The 15,645-nt window shown below is 53.4% G+C and overlaps 1 protein-coding gene across 5 annotated transcripts in view, besides 2 other annotated features; it reads right to left on the reverse strand.

The window, feature by feature from the left end:
• Positions 8,105-8,317: a silencer, noted in NCBI's record as "fragment chr5:138279886-138280098 (GRCh37/hg19 assembly coordinates)". NCBI's record gives its function as "represses an EF-1alpha promoter that drives an FKBP-Casp9 reporter gene in an ReSE screen in K562 erythroleukemia cells {active_cell/tissue: K562}" and the evidence as "EXISTENCE:reporter gene assay evidence [ECO:0000049][PMID:32094911]".
• The window catches only part of SIL1 (SIL1 nucleotide exchange factor), a 251,645-nt gene continuing 246,631 nt past the window's right edge, over positions 10,632-15,645 (reverse strand). For all 5 annotated transcript variants that reach the window (NM_022464.5, NM_001037633.2, XM_011543570.3 and 2 more), the window contains 2 exons: positions 15,079-15,243; positions 10,632-11,381 (listed from right to left, as the gene is read on the reverse strand). In NM_022464.5, the coding sequence (NP_071909.1) occupies positions 11,025-11,381; positions 15,079-15,243 (522 nt within the window). In that variant the 3' untranslated portion in view covers positions 10,632-11,024. The remainder of the gene's footprint in view (positions 11,382-15,078; positions 15,244-15,645) is intronic.
• Positions 12,757-13,621: an enhancer, noted in NCBI's record as "H3K4me1 hESC enhancer chr5:138284538-138285402 (GRCh37/hg19 assembly coordinates)". NCBI's record gives its function as "activates a minimal SCP1, AML or CMV promoter by ChIP-STARR-seq in naive H9 embryonic stem cells {active_cell/tissue: H9 hESC(naive)}" and the evidence as "EXISTENCE:reporter gene assay evidence [ECO:0000049][PMID:30033119]".

The following is a 15,645-nucleotide window of genomic DNA, read 5'->3' on the forward strand; positions in this document are numbered from 1 at the left end:
CAATTTACCTGTTACCGCCTGGCCTAAGCCATCCTGCTGTTACTGCTGTGTAGCAAGTTGCAGCCAAAGCGACCTCACACGGCTCCTGAAGGTCAAGAATCTGGGAGCAGCTCAGCTGGATGGCTGTGACTCGGGGTCTCATGAAGTGGCCAAGATGCCAGCTAAGGCTGCCGTCTCTGAAGGCTTGACCTGGCGAGGATTTGCTTCCAGACTCACTCGCGTGGCTATTGACAGAAGGCCTCAGTTCCATGCCACATGGCCCGTTCCACAGAGCAGCTCACAGCTTGGTAGTAGCTGGCTTCCCCAGAGCGGTATCTGCGAGCAGCGTCCAGATGGAAGCCATGGTGTTCCCTTAAAACCTGATATGGAGGGTGATTCCCCATCATGTCTGTATTCTGTGGGTCACACAGACCAAGGCCGGTCCACTGTGGAAGGCAAGGACGAGGTTGCCAGTGCCCGGCGGTGGGTGGCCACAGCCAGCCTCCCTGCCAGTGTCCCCCACAGACAAGTTGTCCCTGTAAGACAGGTCAGCTCAGGTCATTCCGAGCTCAGACCTTCCAACGGCGTCCATGTCCCTCAGTAAAAGCCAGAGTCCTAAAGGCCTCTTGCCTGCTCTGGCCTCCTCTCACCATTCTCTGCCATCCTCCATCTGCCCCTGGTGTCCCTGAAGTCTTGAACATGCCGAGCACATCCTGCCTCGTATGCTTCCTGGCCTGGAATGCACTTGCCCCGGGACACCCTGTGCTGGCTTTAGTGTTTCCTTCCTGTCTCCTCAAGTCACCTTATTATCAAAAGGACTCCGACAGGCTAAGTGTGGTGGCTCATGCCTGTAGTCCCAGCACTCGGGAAGGCCGAGGTGGGAGGATCGCTTGAGCCCAGGAGTTCAGGACCTGCCTGGGCAACATGGCAAAACTTTGTCTCTCTTAAAAAAAAAAAAAAAAAAAAAAAAAAGTCCAATGTCCATTTATGTATCTCTTAACATCTTCCCTTGTGCCTCAGTGGGAAAGCAGCCCACACCATCCCTTGCTCCCTGGGCTCCTCCATCCTCTGCCAAGGCTCACAGCACCGCAGGCACCAGCCCTCACTGGACTGACCTATGGGGAATAGCCAGTGTTGGCTCTGCTCATCCTCATCAGAGGCAAAGGGCTTGTTGGCATGTGCTCGATAGATAGTAGTTGAACAATGTGGACCATTATTGATTTAAACCAACCCATCAGAAGGTGTTAGAGGGCAAAAAGCTGGCAAATGAGAAGGCACCAGGGGCCTGGAGAGCCGAGGCTGAGGCTCAGAGGCCCTGCCCCGAAGTCCTGACCCCTCCTCTCACCTCACAGACCACGACAGAGCTGGGCCAAGCAGGAGGGGAACTGCCTGTGCGTGCGGGGCCTTTGGGGCCTTCCTGCAGCCTCCTTTATGCTCGCTCCTGCCCCTGTGCCATCTGCAAAGGGGACTGCCTCCCCTCTGCATCCCGAGATTTCGCATCCAGGACGGGCCCCTGCTCTCAGCAGTCTTGTTGATGCCTCATCAGAGGAGGGTTGGGGGAACAGAGCCAAGGACCAAAGCCGAGTCCCAGATCCCTCCACCCCACTGTGCCTCCCCAGCCTGTCACCCTGCGTTGGTGACCCCTCAGACCTGCTCCCTACTCCCTGCACTCAGCACACAGCCCCTGCTCTCCTGTGGCTAGCAGCACCCATGCCTCTCCCAGGATGGCTCTGTCCTGGTCCCTGCCTGCTTAGTGCCCTGCAGGGGTTCCCGTGTCTCCTGTGCAACACCTTCAAAGGCCACAGTTCACTCTGCAGCCTTCATCCTCACAGCTTCCAGCCCCAACCTCTTCCACCCTCCTCCCAGGACAAGGCCTCCTCCCCTCCCCACGGAAGCAAGAGAGAAGGAGCTGCCACGTGCTGGGCACCTCAGAGCCTGTGTCCAGCCTTTACTCTCGTCACCCCATTTCATCTGTGCGACCCGAGATGTCAGTGCCATTGCTGCATCTCCAGCTGCACAGCTGAAGAAGTGACTAGGGGAGGTGAAGTCACACTGCGGCAAGTGGCTGGCCCCGCCACCCGGCTTTGAGAGGCACTTCCTCCAGGGCCCCCAGCTTTGGGCCATCCCTCCTGGACCCTCTGAGTAATGGTGATGCCAGTGGCCACTCCCTCCCTCTCACACCTTGTCGATTCCCACGGTTCCCTGCCCGTCACCAATGCGTGTCCCTCGTCTCCCTTACCAGCTCCTTCTCCTCGTGGCCCCTGACATTGAGGTGCTCCAGGGCTCCCATCTGGAGCCTCCTCTCCATGTTCAGTGACACCCAGCAGGGGCTTGCTGGTCAATGTTGAGCCACCGGCTCTCTAGGGCCAGGCCAGGGAGGATGCGAACAGATGCACATCTGTGCATTTAGAAAACACGGGACCGCTATAAAGGAATTGCAGCACACCATTCACAAAAGGAGACGTACAGGACTCTAACTGGGAATCCCAGCCAGCCAGCTGATTCCCACAGAAGGCTTTCATTGATTTTTGCCAGACTCTTGCATCCACGGCCAACCTATGGTTGTAACTGACAAACGAGACTAGTTCCAACAGGAATGCTGCTTGATATTTGTGTTTACCTTAAGGAATAAATGAAAGTGAAACAACAAAAACCTATGTTGGACTTTCACTTTGTCAGTGAGTGACTTCCTTGCTGAGTCAGATAATAGTTGTTAACTACTTTGACAATTTCTTCCATTTTTTTTTGTGCTACTGACGATGTAACTGCTATAGATAACACACATTTACATTTAATTGGCATTATTAACATAACAAATTCACCTTTGATCTGTAGCGTTTCCCAATTTCCATGGGTAAATGCTCCCACCACATCAGATTTCGAGCCACGGGCTGGCAGTGCGAAAACGTGGAGTTGGTTAGAGAAGCCCAGGAGCGCGCCGTGATGCATCCTTCTATCACCCAGACAATTGGACCGATTGTGGTAAAATGTCATTAGGAAAGGATGAGTTGCTATTATAACTTAGGTGAAAATTTACACACAGTGAAATCTGCTCTTTCTGGTGTGTAATTCCATGAGTTTTGACAAACGCAGTCCTGTAACCACCACCACAAGGAAGATGGAACAGTCACCCTTCCCCCAGGATTCCCCTGTGCTATCCCAGTATCATCAAAACAGTCCCCAATCCTAAGTCCTGGCAACACCTTCCCTATCATTTTGCCTTTTCCAGAACGTACATAAGTGCAGTAATACAGTACGTGGCCTTTTGGGTCTGGCTGCATATGGCGCAGTGCATTTCAATCAGTGCGGCTTCAAAATGCACGCAGATTGCTGTGTGCATCGGTGGCTCGTTCCTTACTGCAGAGTTGTATTCCGTTGTAAGGGTGCATCACAGTTTGTTTATACATCCCCCAGATAAGAGACATTTGAGTTGTTTCCAGTTTTTTATTTTTATTTTTTACAAATAAAGTTGATATAAGCATTGACGCACAGGTTTTCACATGAACACTGATTTTTTTGTTTTTTGAGACAGTCTCATTCTGTTGCCATGTTAGCCAGGCTCCTCTGGAACTCCTGACCTCAGGTGACCCACCCACCTCAGCCTCCCAAAGTGTTGGGATTACAGGCATGAGCCACCACACCCGACCTCAACATATTTTTTAAAATGAGCCTTGACCTATTTACAGTACCTCACATCTTATACAAAATTTAACTCAAAATCAGAGACCTAAATGTAAAATTATAAAACTCTTAGAAGAAGACAGAAGAGAAATCTTTGTGACTTTAGAGTTAGGCAGAGTTCTTAGAGACAACATCAAAGTCACCATTCATAAAATTTAAAAATGGATAAATTAGACTTCATTAAAATAAAAACCTCTGTGAAATTGTTAAAAGAATAAAAACTTACAAACAGAACATATTTGTAAATCACATATCTGACAAAGGACTTGTATCCAGAAAATGAACAGAACCCTCAAAATTCATTAAGAAAACAGTCAACCAAACGAAAAATTAGGCAAAAAGATTCGATGCCTGTAGTCCCAGCTACTTGGGAGGCTGAGGCAGGAGGATTACTTGAGCCTGGGAGGCAGAGGTTGCAGTGAGCCAAGATTGCACCACTGCACTCTAGCCTGGGTGGCACAGCAAGACTCTAAAAAAAAAAAAAAAAACTGTCTAATGACTGCAGTACCATTTATTGAAAAGACAGTCTTTTCTCCACTGAACTGCCTTTGCATGTTTGTCAAAAATCAATTAACTATATCTGTGTGGGTCTGGCCAATGCCACACTGTGGTATTACAGGTTTATATCTTAAAATCAGCAAGTGTTAGCCCTCCAACTTGGTTCTTCTTTTTCAAAATTGTTTTAGCTATTCTTATTCTTGTTCTTTGCATTTCCATGTAAGTTTTCAAATAAGACTCCTGATACCTAAAGAATTCCTACGGGGACTGCATTGAATCTAGAGATCAATTTTGTGGGGACTGACATCATTTAACAATGTTGAGTCTTCCAACCCATGAATGAACTCAGTAGGTCTGTCCATGTGCTTAGATCTTCTGTGATTTACTTCATCAGTATTTCATAATTTTCAGCATAAAATCCTGCACATATTTCACTTTTCAGTTGATTTTTATACACTGACTTTGTATCCTATGACCTTGCTAAAGTCATTAGCTAGTTCTGTGAAATTGTTTTTACAGATGCCATGGGATTTTCTACATTGACACTCATGTCATCTGTGAATAGGGACAATTTTATTTCTTCTTTTTCAATCTGTATGCTATTTCATTTTCTTGCCTTAAGGCAGTGCCCAGAACTTTTAGTACAATGTTGAAAAGGAGTCAGGAGAGTGGGCATTCTTGCCTGTTTTACAATCTGAGGGGGAAGGAATTCAGCCTTTCACCCTTAAGTTTGATGTTAGATGTAGGTTTTTATGTGGTTTCTGTTCATGAGGTTAAGGAAATTCCCTTCTGTTCCAATTTGCTGAGAGTTTTTATTATGGCTGCTTAATATTTGTCTATATCTGTTGAGATGATGGTGTGGCCTTTTCTTCTTTAGTCTGTTAATATGGTGAACTAATTGAACTAGCCTTGCATTCCCAGGGTACACTCCATTTGGTTATATTATCCTTTTACATATTGTTGCATTCAATTTGCCAATATTTTGTTGAGGATTTTTGTAGAGACTTCAGAAAAATCTAAAGTCTTTGCCATAGCCTACAGGATCTCCTGTCGCCATTACCTCCCTAATCTTGTTGATGACGGGATATTAGCCTGTAGGATATTTTTCTTGAAATATCATTGTCAGGCCGGGCACGATGGCTCACGCCTATAATCCCAGCACTTTGGGAGGCCGAGGCAGGCAGATCACAAGGTCAGGAGTTCGAGACAGCCTGGCCAACATGGTGAAACCCCATCTCTACTAAAAATACAAAAAATTAGCCAGGCATGGTGGCAGGTGCCTGTAATCCCAGCTACTCGGGAGGCTGAGGCAGGAGAATCACTTGAACCTGGGAGGTGGAAGTTGCAGTGAGCCGAGACCGTGCCACTGCACTCCTGCCTGAGCAACAGAGTGAGACTCTGTCGAAAAGAAAGAAAAGAAAAGAAAAGAAAAGAAAAGATATATCATTGTCTAGTATTGGTGTCAGGGCAATGCTGGCCTCATGAAATGAGTTTGGAAATGTTTTCTTCTATTTTCTGGAGGAGACTGTATAAAATTGGTATTAGTTGGTAGAATTTGCTAGTGAAACCACATAGGTCTGGAGTTTTCTCTGTGGAAGGGTTTTAAACAGTAAATTCCATTTCTTTAGTACCTGTAGGGCTACACAGGTTATCTATTGTTGAGTGGGTTTCAGCAGCTTGTGTTAGGCAGAATAATGGCTTCCAGAGATGCCCACATCCTAATCCCTGGGCCTGCGCATGTTATGTTACATGGCAGAAAGCGAATCCAGGTTGCAGATGGAACTGAGGTTGCTAATTGGCTGATTTTCAGATAGGAAGATTATCCTGGATCATCCAGGTGGGCCCACTGTAATCACAGGGTCCTTAAAAATGGAAGATGGAGGCAGAAGAGGAGGTCAGAATGGTGCAATATGAGAAGACCTTGACTTCCTTTTTTGGCTTTGAAGACAGAGGAAGGTCTAGGAGCCAAGGAATACAGACAGCCCCTAGCAGCTGGGAAAGGCAAGGGATGGACCCCACCCAGAAAGGAGTACAGCCCTGCGACACTTGGATTTTTGCCCCATGAGAACTGGGCCAGACTTCTAACCTACAGCACTGTAAGAAAATTGACTGGGAATGTTTTAAGGCATAAAGCTCATGGTAATTTGTTAGCATAGCAGCAATAGAAAGCTAATACAGTGAGAGGCCGTGTTTCTCAAGGAATTGGTCCATGATTTCTTCTAAGTTGTCAAATTGATTTTACAATGTATTTATTTAGAGTTGTTCATAATACTCACTACTCACTATCCTTTAATGCTCGTAGAGCCTATAGTGACACCCCGTTTTCATCCGTGAGGCTGCTGATTTATGTCTTCTCTCTTTTTCAAAGGACCATCTTTTAATTTCATTGATTTTCTTTAGTTTTACTGTCTTCAATTTTATTGGTTTCCACTCTTTATTATTTCCTTTTCTTCTGCTTCCTTTGGTTTTAATTTGCTCTTCTTTTACTAGTTTTTAAAAATTACCTTTGCTTTCTTGGTGTTACTTAATTGTACACTTGCATCATTTAGTTTTAATAATGGCTGTGTTTAACAACCAGCTGGCCACATTCTGAACCCTGCGGCTCCCTTGTGTGAGGTTCCCAGGCCTGGTCAGTATCCCCCACCCAGCCTCTCTCTCAGCTCCAGGCTGTCTGCTGCTGCCTGTCAGCACCCCCACCTGGATGTCCTGCTGACATCTCCATATAAACATCAACAGGGTCCACCTCAGAGCCCCAGTCACTCCCCTGTTCTCCAAGCTCCCACTCTGGTACCAGCTCCTCCCCACGCCCATCTGCTCCATCCCCTCGACTCCTCTCCCCACACCCTGCATCCCGCCAGCAGAGCCCTGAGCTCTGCCTCAGCCCCATCTGGAGTCTGCACACTTCTCACAGTCCTATGTCTTCACCCTGCCCCACATCCTTGTCCAGCTGCCCCCTGGATGCTGCCCTGGGCTCCCTGCCCCTCCTGGCCCCTGTGTCATCTATTCTCACCACAACAGTAAGAAAAGGTGAGGCCGGGCACAGGGGCTCACACCTGTAATCCCAGCACTTTGGGAGGTTGAGGCAGCAGGATCGCTTGAGCCCAGGAGCTCAAGACAAGCCTGGAAAACATAGGGAGACCTCTACAAAAAAATGAAAAAAATTAGCTGGGCGTGACAGCTTGCACCTGTGGTCCCAGCTACTTTGGAGGCTGAGGTGGGAGGACCACTTGAGCCTAGCAGGTCAAGGCTGCAGTGAGCCATGGTCACACCACTGCATTCTAGCCTGAGTGACAGAACAAGACCCTGTCTCAAAAAGAAAAAGGTGGGTTACATCAGGTCTCTCCTCTGCACCCAACTCTCAACAGCCCCACCTCAAAGAAAATCCCAGGTCCCTTCCACAGCCTCCCCAGGCGGCCCTCCCTTGCAACTCCTCCCTCGGTCTCTGCCTGCTCCAGGCCTGGTTCTCATGGCTTTTCCTGAAGTGCTTTGGCCTGTTCCTGCAGGACCTTTGCCTCTGCTATCCCCTTGTCTACAAAGCACCCCCATGGCTCACTGCTGCGCTCCTGTGCCTGGCCCCTCCTCAGAGGCCTTCCCCACCACTGAGGGGAAACAGCAGTGCCTACCCCTCTTCCCTTCCCACTGGGCTCTGTCTTCCTTGCCTGGCCCTCCCCTGAAGCATGTGTATTTATCATGGTCCAGCCCTCTCCCCTCCTGTCCTACCACTTCCTGCCCTAGAACAGTGCCTGGCTCGTAGTACCCAACCAGATTTGTTGAACAAATGAATGAATAAGCAGCAGCCCAGAGAACACCTGCTAGGATGAGGGCACAGCCCTTGGCAGGGCTGACAAGCTGCCGGAGGACCCGAAATTGTGGATTCTGCAAATGGCCACTCTCTGGCCTTCCTGTATCTTCCCAGGGCCAGAGCCCTTGCCCTGCCTGCCCCAGACTGGCCCTTCCAACTGCCCATCCCTGACTGCTACTCCTGCAGCCTGCAGGGCTTAGCCTGGCCATCACCAGCTCTGGGAGGCCTTTCCTTGGCTTCACCCAGCTCAGCAGACTTCTCAGCTCCAACTGCCTGACACACACGACTGCTCAACAGCCACAGTGTGAATGAAATAATGAATGAACAAGTGAACTCATAAAACCACAGCTGCTGAGGGATGGGGTGAGGACCTAGGCCCACCACCCTCCCTGCCATCCTCCCACACTAGGGCCCGGGTCAGCCCAGCCCAGGAGCAGGGACCCAATAATCACTGAGGGCCTGTGGGTGTCAGCCCAGCACACCTCTCAGCCCATCCCAAGACAGTGAGGACAGGAAAGCAGGCTCCAGCCCCACAGGAGGAAGTCCCACCTCCCCCGTCACCACTCCCTGCCTCACTTCGAGCCCCGGTCACACTCCTTGACCACAGTTCCCAGGATGGCAGCCAAAGGGAAGGCAGAGAAGGGGTTCCTTCCTGACCTGCAGACAACAAGCCGCGATGAATCAGGAGGCGGAGCCAGAACCCACCCCCAAGCAGCCCAAGCCCAGACCCTGGGGCGCCTCGCCACCCTCTCCCTGGAGGGTCTGCTTAACAGTCCAGAACGAACCTGGATGCGGCCAATGAGGAGAGAGACTGCAGCCCAACTCCCATTCCGATGCTCTGAGTGTGTGAGGGCAGAGTGCACGCAGTCCCACCTCCCAGGCCTCGGGCTCAGCAGCCTGGCGCTGGTCCAGCCCCCTCCCTACAGCCCCCAGGTGCCCGTTCCTCCATCCTCGCTCCCAGAAATCCTCTCAAGAGCACCTGGCCCAAAGCCTCCCTCTGCTTTACAGAATCGCTGCTGAGGGCAGCACACCTGGGGGCAGAGGGGACACTGGGGACTGCAGTTAGGCCCCTACTAGTGGCACTCCTCCCATAGGGACGCTTTCCACACCCCGGGCCAGACCCTGGTGGTCACAGAGGCCTCCAGGGCCAGCCTGGTCCTGACACAGCCGAGCGCCCGGCCTGGCCTCCCCACAAGGCCCCACACTCTCGCCTGTCCACTGTTCCCACTGTCCAGCCTTGGTGCTCACCTCTGAATGCTGAAAGCCTAGAATAGATTCATCCCCAGCCCAGCCCCAAGTCCTCCTGTCTTCCAAGCCTCTGCTGAGGCAGCCCCTCTCCCCATCAAACCTCACCTTGCCCCTTTCTCAAGTCTACGCTAGATCTTCCAACACTACCTCTAAAGCACCCCTTGACCTTGGCCTCATCCAGGCGCTGGCACCTCCTGTCTGAAACCTGCCTGCCCTGTTGTGGCCACACATGCCCGGCCATTTCTCGTGGTCCTCCCTCCGCTGCCTGTCAGTTCAACATCGTCCCCTTCTTGGCCTCCCATTCAAGCCTCCCACAGCACCATCAGCACCGCAGGCCCACTGCTGCCCCCACAGGCAGATCACTTGGCCTCTCTGAGCCATGATTTCCTCATCTGTAAAATCTACTTCGAAGACTCCTGCGAGGCTGTAAAGGCAGCAGGTACCCAATGGCTGGCAGACTGCGAGTCTGTTCCCCACTCTGCCCTAGCCCTGAGGCCTCCCGCCCTGGGGAAGCTGTTACTCCAGCATCAGCCTGGACTCCTGCCTCCAGCCTGCCCTGCTGGGAGGGGCTCCGTGCAGGCCGTGGCTCTGCTCCGAGCTTCCTGCGTGTCGTGTTGCGGCAAGAGGCGAGCAGGAGAGGGGCTGAGGAGAAGAGCCAGGTGGCCAAGCAAAGGGACTGCAGGGAAGGCCAACTACTGACCCCATGTTTTTCTGGGCCTCAATTTGCCCTCAGCTCAGTAAAACTGAGATTTCTACAAGTGAGGCCTAGAGCCAGGGAGAGGAGAGTCCTGCCCCAGACTGGCCCTCCCGACTTTACCACCTGGGGGCCGGAGGGGCTGCCTGGGCCCGCAAGAGCAAGCCTCTGGTGCACTGGGAAAGCTGAGAAACAAACACACCAGAATCCGAGTCTGAAAAGCCCAGAGCCCGGGTTGCCATGGCAACCTGCAGCCAGCTCCAGCCCGGGACTCCGCCAGCCTGGGTAGGGGCCGGGACTCGCCAGGCACGGCTGCTCCCAGCTCTGAGGCCTCCTCCTTGGGCTTGGCCCTGTTTCTGCTTGGACACAGAAGTGGTGCAAGGCCACAGAGAGGCACTTCTCCCCTGTCAGGTGGGCCAGGCAGGCCTGGGCTCCCCTGGGCTCCCACTGCCAGCTTTCTCCCAGAGTAAGGCCTGGCCCCTGGGCCTCCAGAGTCCAGCACCTCTCAGCACCCCACCCCGGCACCCATTGCTCCAGCACCCATCACTCCAGCAGCTGTCAAGCCCATCAGCTGCCTGGGTCACCACAGCACCAGTGTATGGACAGGCCTCAGGCGCCGGCCAGGTCAGCGGCCTTGAGGCTGTTATGTGGGCACCGATAGAGGGGCAGTGAGATGATTCCCTGCCTTACCTCACAGCTGGGGGGTGCCAGCACTAGTGTGAAGCTTTCTACGTGATTTTTCTCCTTTAATGGCACTCCTGACAGATGAGGAAACAAGCTCAGAGCAATTAAGCGACTTCCCAAGGTACAGAGCTGCTGCTTGGTAAGAAGCAGAGACTTGCAACTCCTGGGCCCAGGTTCCTGCCCTGGAGCCTGTTCCTGGATGCCCTGGGCTGAGCCCTGCACGTCAGCAGAGCCCATCACCCAACCACTCACCTGACCCCCCGGCCACAGGGCTGTGCCCAGTCTACACAGACACACAGCAGAAAGAGGATGGCCTTCAGGTTTCCATTTAATGGCCAAGCCAGCACTGCCAAGATGTCCTCCTGCCTGAGAAGCCCACCCACGCTGGCACCCCTCAGCCTCACTAGCGGCATCCCAGTCCAGTCCTGGTGTGGGGCCTCATCTCAGCTCCTTCAGCAAGCTGTTGACAGAGCCCAGCAGCTCCTGGAAGTAGCCCTCGTCCTCACCATCCTGCAGCTCCAGGCTGGCCAGCACCTGGTACTCAGCCTGCAGGCTGGCCAGTGTCCTGCCGAGCTGGGGGTCCTGACGGTAGCGGTCCCGGCAGGTGGTCAGGAGGACGCCCAGTGTCTGCAGCACCTTCTCACGGGCATCATGCTCGGGCAGCGCCAGGAGGTGGGCCGTGATCTCGCACCAGCCCTGTTCCCACAGGCCTGGCAGGAGGTGTACCTGGCGATACTGCTGCAGCTTCTCTGGGGACATCTCCTGGGTCAGCTCAGCCTCCTCCTCGGCGAACATCTGCCATCCGCCACAGCCGCAGGCCAGGTAGGGTGGGGGTGGGGAGAGAACACACAGGGAGCAGTTAGCTCACACCTGGCTAGCTCTGCCCTTCAGACAGGAAGGCACGAGGCTGACCCCTGAGGGCCCACCTCTTCCTCTATCCCCAAGTCTGTCTGTCTATTCATTCATTCATCCACCAACAGAAACACTTGTGTGGTGCCAGGTGCTGAAGAAACCACGATGGAGACATAGTCTTACCCTCAAGGAGCTTAAGGTCTAGCAGGAGAATAAAAATTAACTAATTCCCAAATAGCATAAATGTAATCTAACAGTGCAGCATGGAGGCAGACAGGCTGGCTTCAAATTCCTGCTCCACCACTGACTTGCTGAATGACCATGGCTGGCACTTAGCCTCCCTGAGACTCATCGTCATCACCTCCTAAGTGGAGAAACTCAGCCTGTCTGTAAAGCGCAGAAGCCCAGCTCTATCAGCAGAACATGGTGGGAGCCAATCCTGCCGGGCTACCAGCAGCGGGAAAGCCAACACCTGAACCATGACAAGCAGGCAGGTTACCTGAAGGTCAGAGGTAGAGGGTTGGGAGGGGGCAGAGATCTCCCGTGCAGCTGTAGGAAGTGTGCCTGTATGGAGAAAGAAGGAATGCCTGCCCTAACTCCAGGGGAGAATGAAGCACAGGGAAGATGCACAAGGCAAGAGGGAAGCCCAGGAGAAGAGGAGGCCACAGTGGACCACCTGTGCTTCCTGCGGCAGCAGGAAGTCGTGGGGCTGATTGGGGCTGGCAGAGGAAACTGAGGAGGGGTGCAATCCTGCATCCTGGGACAGGAGAGGCTGAGAGGTATCCCCTAGTCCTTTCCTACTTCACCCCTCAGTCCTGCCAGCTTCGCTTCCAAAACACACCCCAATTCTGTCAGCTCCACCTTTGTCCCTTGTGTCCTGCGATCCAGTGCCTCCTGCTCTCACCCTCTCCTCCAGCCCCCAAACCCTCACAGCCTGGCATTGCGGGTGATAAAGACAAAATCAATCCCTTCCCTGGGACTGCGAGGCTCTGCAGGCTCTGCCCCCACTGTGCGCGGCCTGGACCCACTCACACCCACTCCTGTCACTCTAACTCTCCCCTGGGGCCTCTGGAGGCGCAGCTCCGACTTCCAGGTGCACCCCCGCATTGGCCCCATTCACTCCACGGCTCCCTGCACACCTCACCGCCACTGACCGGCCTCCCCTGACTGGCCTTCTCTGCTTATATGCTGCTGTGGTTTGAGTGTGTTCCCTAAAAGTTCAAGTGTTGGAAGCTTAATTCCCAAGGCAGCAGTATTGAGAGGAGCTGCCTAGGTCAGGAGGGCAGCGGGTTCCTTACGGGAGAGCGGTTGTTATTCTAGAGAGCAAGCCCGGCCCAGCATGCTTTTTTCCGCAAGTGCTCTTGCCCTCTCACCTTCCACAATGTTGTCATGCAACACAAAGGCTCCCGCCAGATGCACCCACCCAATCGTGGATTTCCCAGCCTCCCGAATCATGAGCCAAAAACTGCCTTTTCTTTATATTATCCAGTCCCGGGTATTCTGTTAAAGCAGCAGCAGACAGACTACAACACAAGCTCAGGGGAATTCTCTGATAAACATCTGCCTGAAAGCTCAGGGACGACAGGGACTGCGGATTATTTTCCCAGCACCCGGCACAGCAGGCAGCACAGGCAGGCAGGGTCCCCCTGCGGCCCTTCAGCTCCTCAGATGCACCAGAGGCCATGGAATCCAAACCCCAGGCAGGCATCTCACCACTGCAGAAGCCCAGATGTCAGGGCATGGTCTCTCAGTAGAGGTCCTCTCACAGGCCAAGGTACATATGAGGACTGCCTGGGGCCTGGCAGACCCCAGCACCCTGATGGGGGTGTCACATTGCCCATGGGAATTCCACAGTCCTTGGCTGTCATGACAACATGCTGCAGTGATCCCCGAGCTGCATGGCACCCCTCCATCGTGGTGGACAGCTCATGTCCCTCCACCTTCAGGCAGCTCTGGACCCACCCCTAGCTTGGCTAGGTCTTCATTCTTAAGCGCTGCAAGAGGCTGGACTTAGTGACTCACGCCTATAATTCCAATACTTTGGGAAGCTGAGGCAGGACTGCTTGAGCCCAGGAGTTCAAGACCAGCCTGAGCAACATAGTGAGACCCTGTCTACAAAAAACGAACAAAATTAACCAGGCATGGTGGCATGGACCTGTAGTCCCAGCTACTCAGGGGGCTGAGGTGGGAGGATCACTTGAGTCTGGGAGGCAGAGTTTACAGTGAGCCAAGATCGTGCCACTGGGTGACAGAGAGAGACCCTGTCTCAAAAAAAAAAAAAAAAAAGAAAAAAGAAAAGAAAAGAAAAAAGAAAAAAGAAATCACAAGAACAGAGAAGCCCTGACTGCCTCAGCCCAAGTACAGTGTGTCCTAAATCTCTCTGGCTGAAATTTATCTGCTGTCCTCCCTGAAAGAAGAGGGCCATTTCTGTACTGTTTGTAGAGAGATGCCAGTCCTCCCCTCCCCAATCATGTCAGCACCCCAAAGCTTCCAGAGGCAGGCTCCCGGGGCCGGCAGCCTCGGGGCAGCCTTGGTGAGCCTGCCTGGTGGTAGTGTGCTAGCAATGTGTCAGTGCCATAGTGCCCAGGATGCCAGGGCTGGGGGCAGCAGGGACACACACCCAAGACACCAGAGAACAGAGCCCAGTTTCCCTGGGAAATGCCCAGCCAGCTGACATGTCCTTCTCCAGGCTCACTGGCCCAGTCCCAGAACCTGAACTGTGCCCAGGCCTTATCAATTGGATCTGAGCACCACATGGCTGCCTGCTGTTCTAAGAAACTGGATTTCTGCAGCTTTAACAAGAGAAGAGAGAGAAACAGGCAAAGACAGAGAGTTGGGGAGAGACAGTGATGGACAGAGGTGGCCACAGCCATCCCGACACTGCCTGGGAGAGAAGGCCTGGGGGAGGCGTGTGCAGAGGGAGTGAGGGGCCCAGCCTCCACCATTCGGCAGCAGTTCCAGCGGCTGCCCAGCCCTGCTCCACTAGTCGGCATGCGGCTCTTCTGGGGAGCGTGTGGCCCGAGAGAGGCAACTGAGGAAGCCCTGCCAATGCTCTCTGCAGTAGCTGAATTAAGAATCCAGGCCTGGCTGGTTTTCCTCTCTCCTCCTTAATTAAGATGCTTCTTCAAGCTTGCAAACAGGGCTGGGCACCAAGTCTCCTCCCAAGTGGCAAGCAATTGGGTCCCTGAGACTCTCAAGGGCAGCCACTCTGAGGCCCTGCCCAGAGCCAAAGCTCACAGAGGAGGCACCTCCACGTTTCTAGAATCCGAAGAGTGAGTGCCATTCGAAGGAGCTCTGGGCTGTTCTACCCCCTCAGCCTTTTGTCCCCTCGGGGCCTGGTCTCGGCTGCTCCAAGGCTTGCCTCATACTGAGCCCTCTGCCTGCACACTTGGCCGTGACCATGGCTGGCAGGGCCACCTCCCACTCCTCATCAGCCCTCAGGTTTCAGCTTAGCCACCACATCTCACATGACATACTCCCTGACGTCCCCAATCTCTTCCAACTGTCTGTCTGTCCATCCATCCAGAAGCACACACAAAGCAAACAAGTGACGTCCGCAGTCTCTTCCATCTGTCTGTCCATCCACCCAGAAGCACACACAAAGCAAACAAGAGGAGACTGGGTGGGCCTGGGCACTCACCTTCTCCGTGACCAGGTCGTAGAGCAGTGTGACCACGCGCACGGCGAGCACCTCCGTGCCCTTCTCCTGCACCAGGGTCCTCAGGACCTGCAGCCCCCCGAGCTTCAGGAACTGCCGCTGGGCATAGGGGAAGTGGCGCAGCAGGGAGCACAGTGCAAACAGGACCTGGGGGCACAGACCCAGGGGTAGGTGAGGGGCCAAGCGAGCTGGACCTGCCCTGAGGCCCAGGGAAGGCAGGCAGAGGTGCCCCAAATTAGTCCCCATTCCTCCCGGCCCCACCTCAGTTACAGCTATACCCCAGAACCCAGGACTGTGAGGCCAGGAGGGACTCAGACACCTTCAACATTACCAAGTGAGTAAATGGGAGGTAAACAGAGGCCAAGGGTGGGAGGCCAGGAGTAGGGCCCAAGGCCACAGCACAGGAGCTGCCCCCAGGCCTCTAGTCACCTCGGCACACTGCCATCTGCTTTAGTTGAGTGTAACTTCTCCCCCTGTGCCACCCAGCAGATGATGCTCAGGCCCCCATGGTAACATGCACAGCCTGGACAGGAACCCTTTCCTTTCAGG

Source organism: Homo sapiens, chromosome 5 (assembly GCF_000001405.40).
Source record: "Homo sapiens chromosome 5, GRCh38.p14 Primary Assembly".
Classification (NCBI taxonomy): Eukaryota; Metazoa; Chordata; class Mammalia; order Primates; family Hominidae; genus Homo; species Homo sapiens.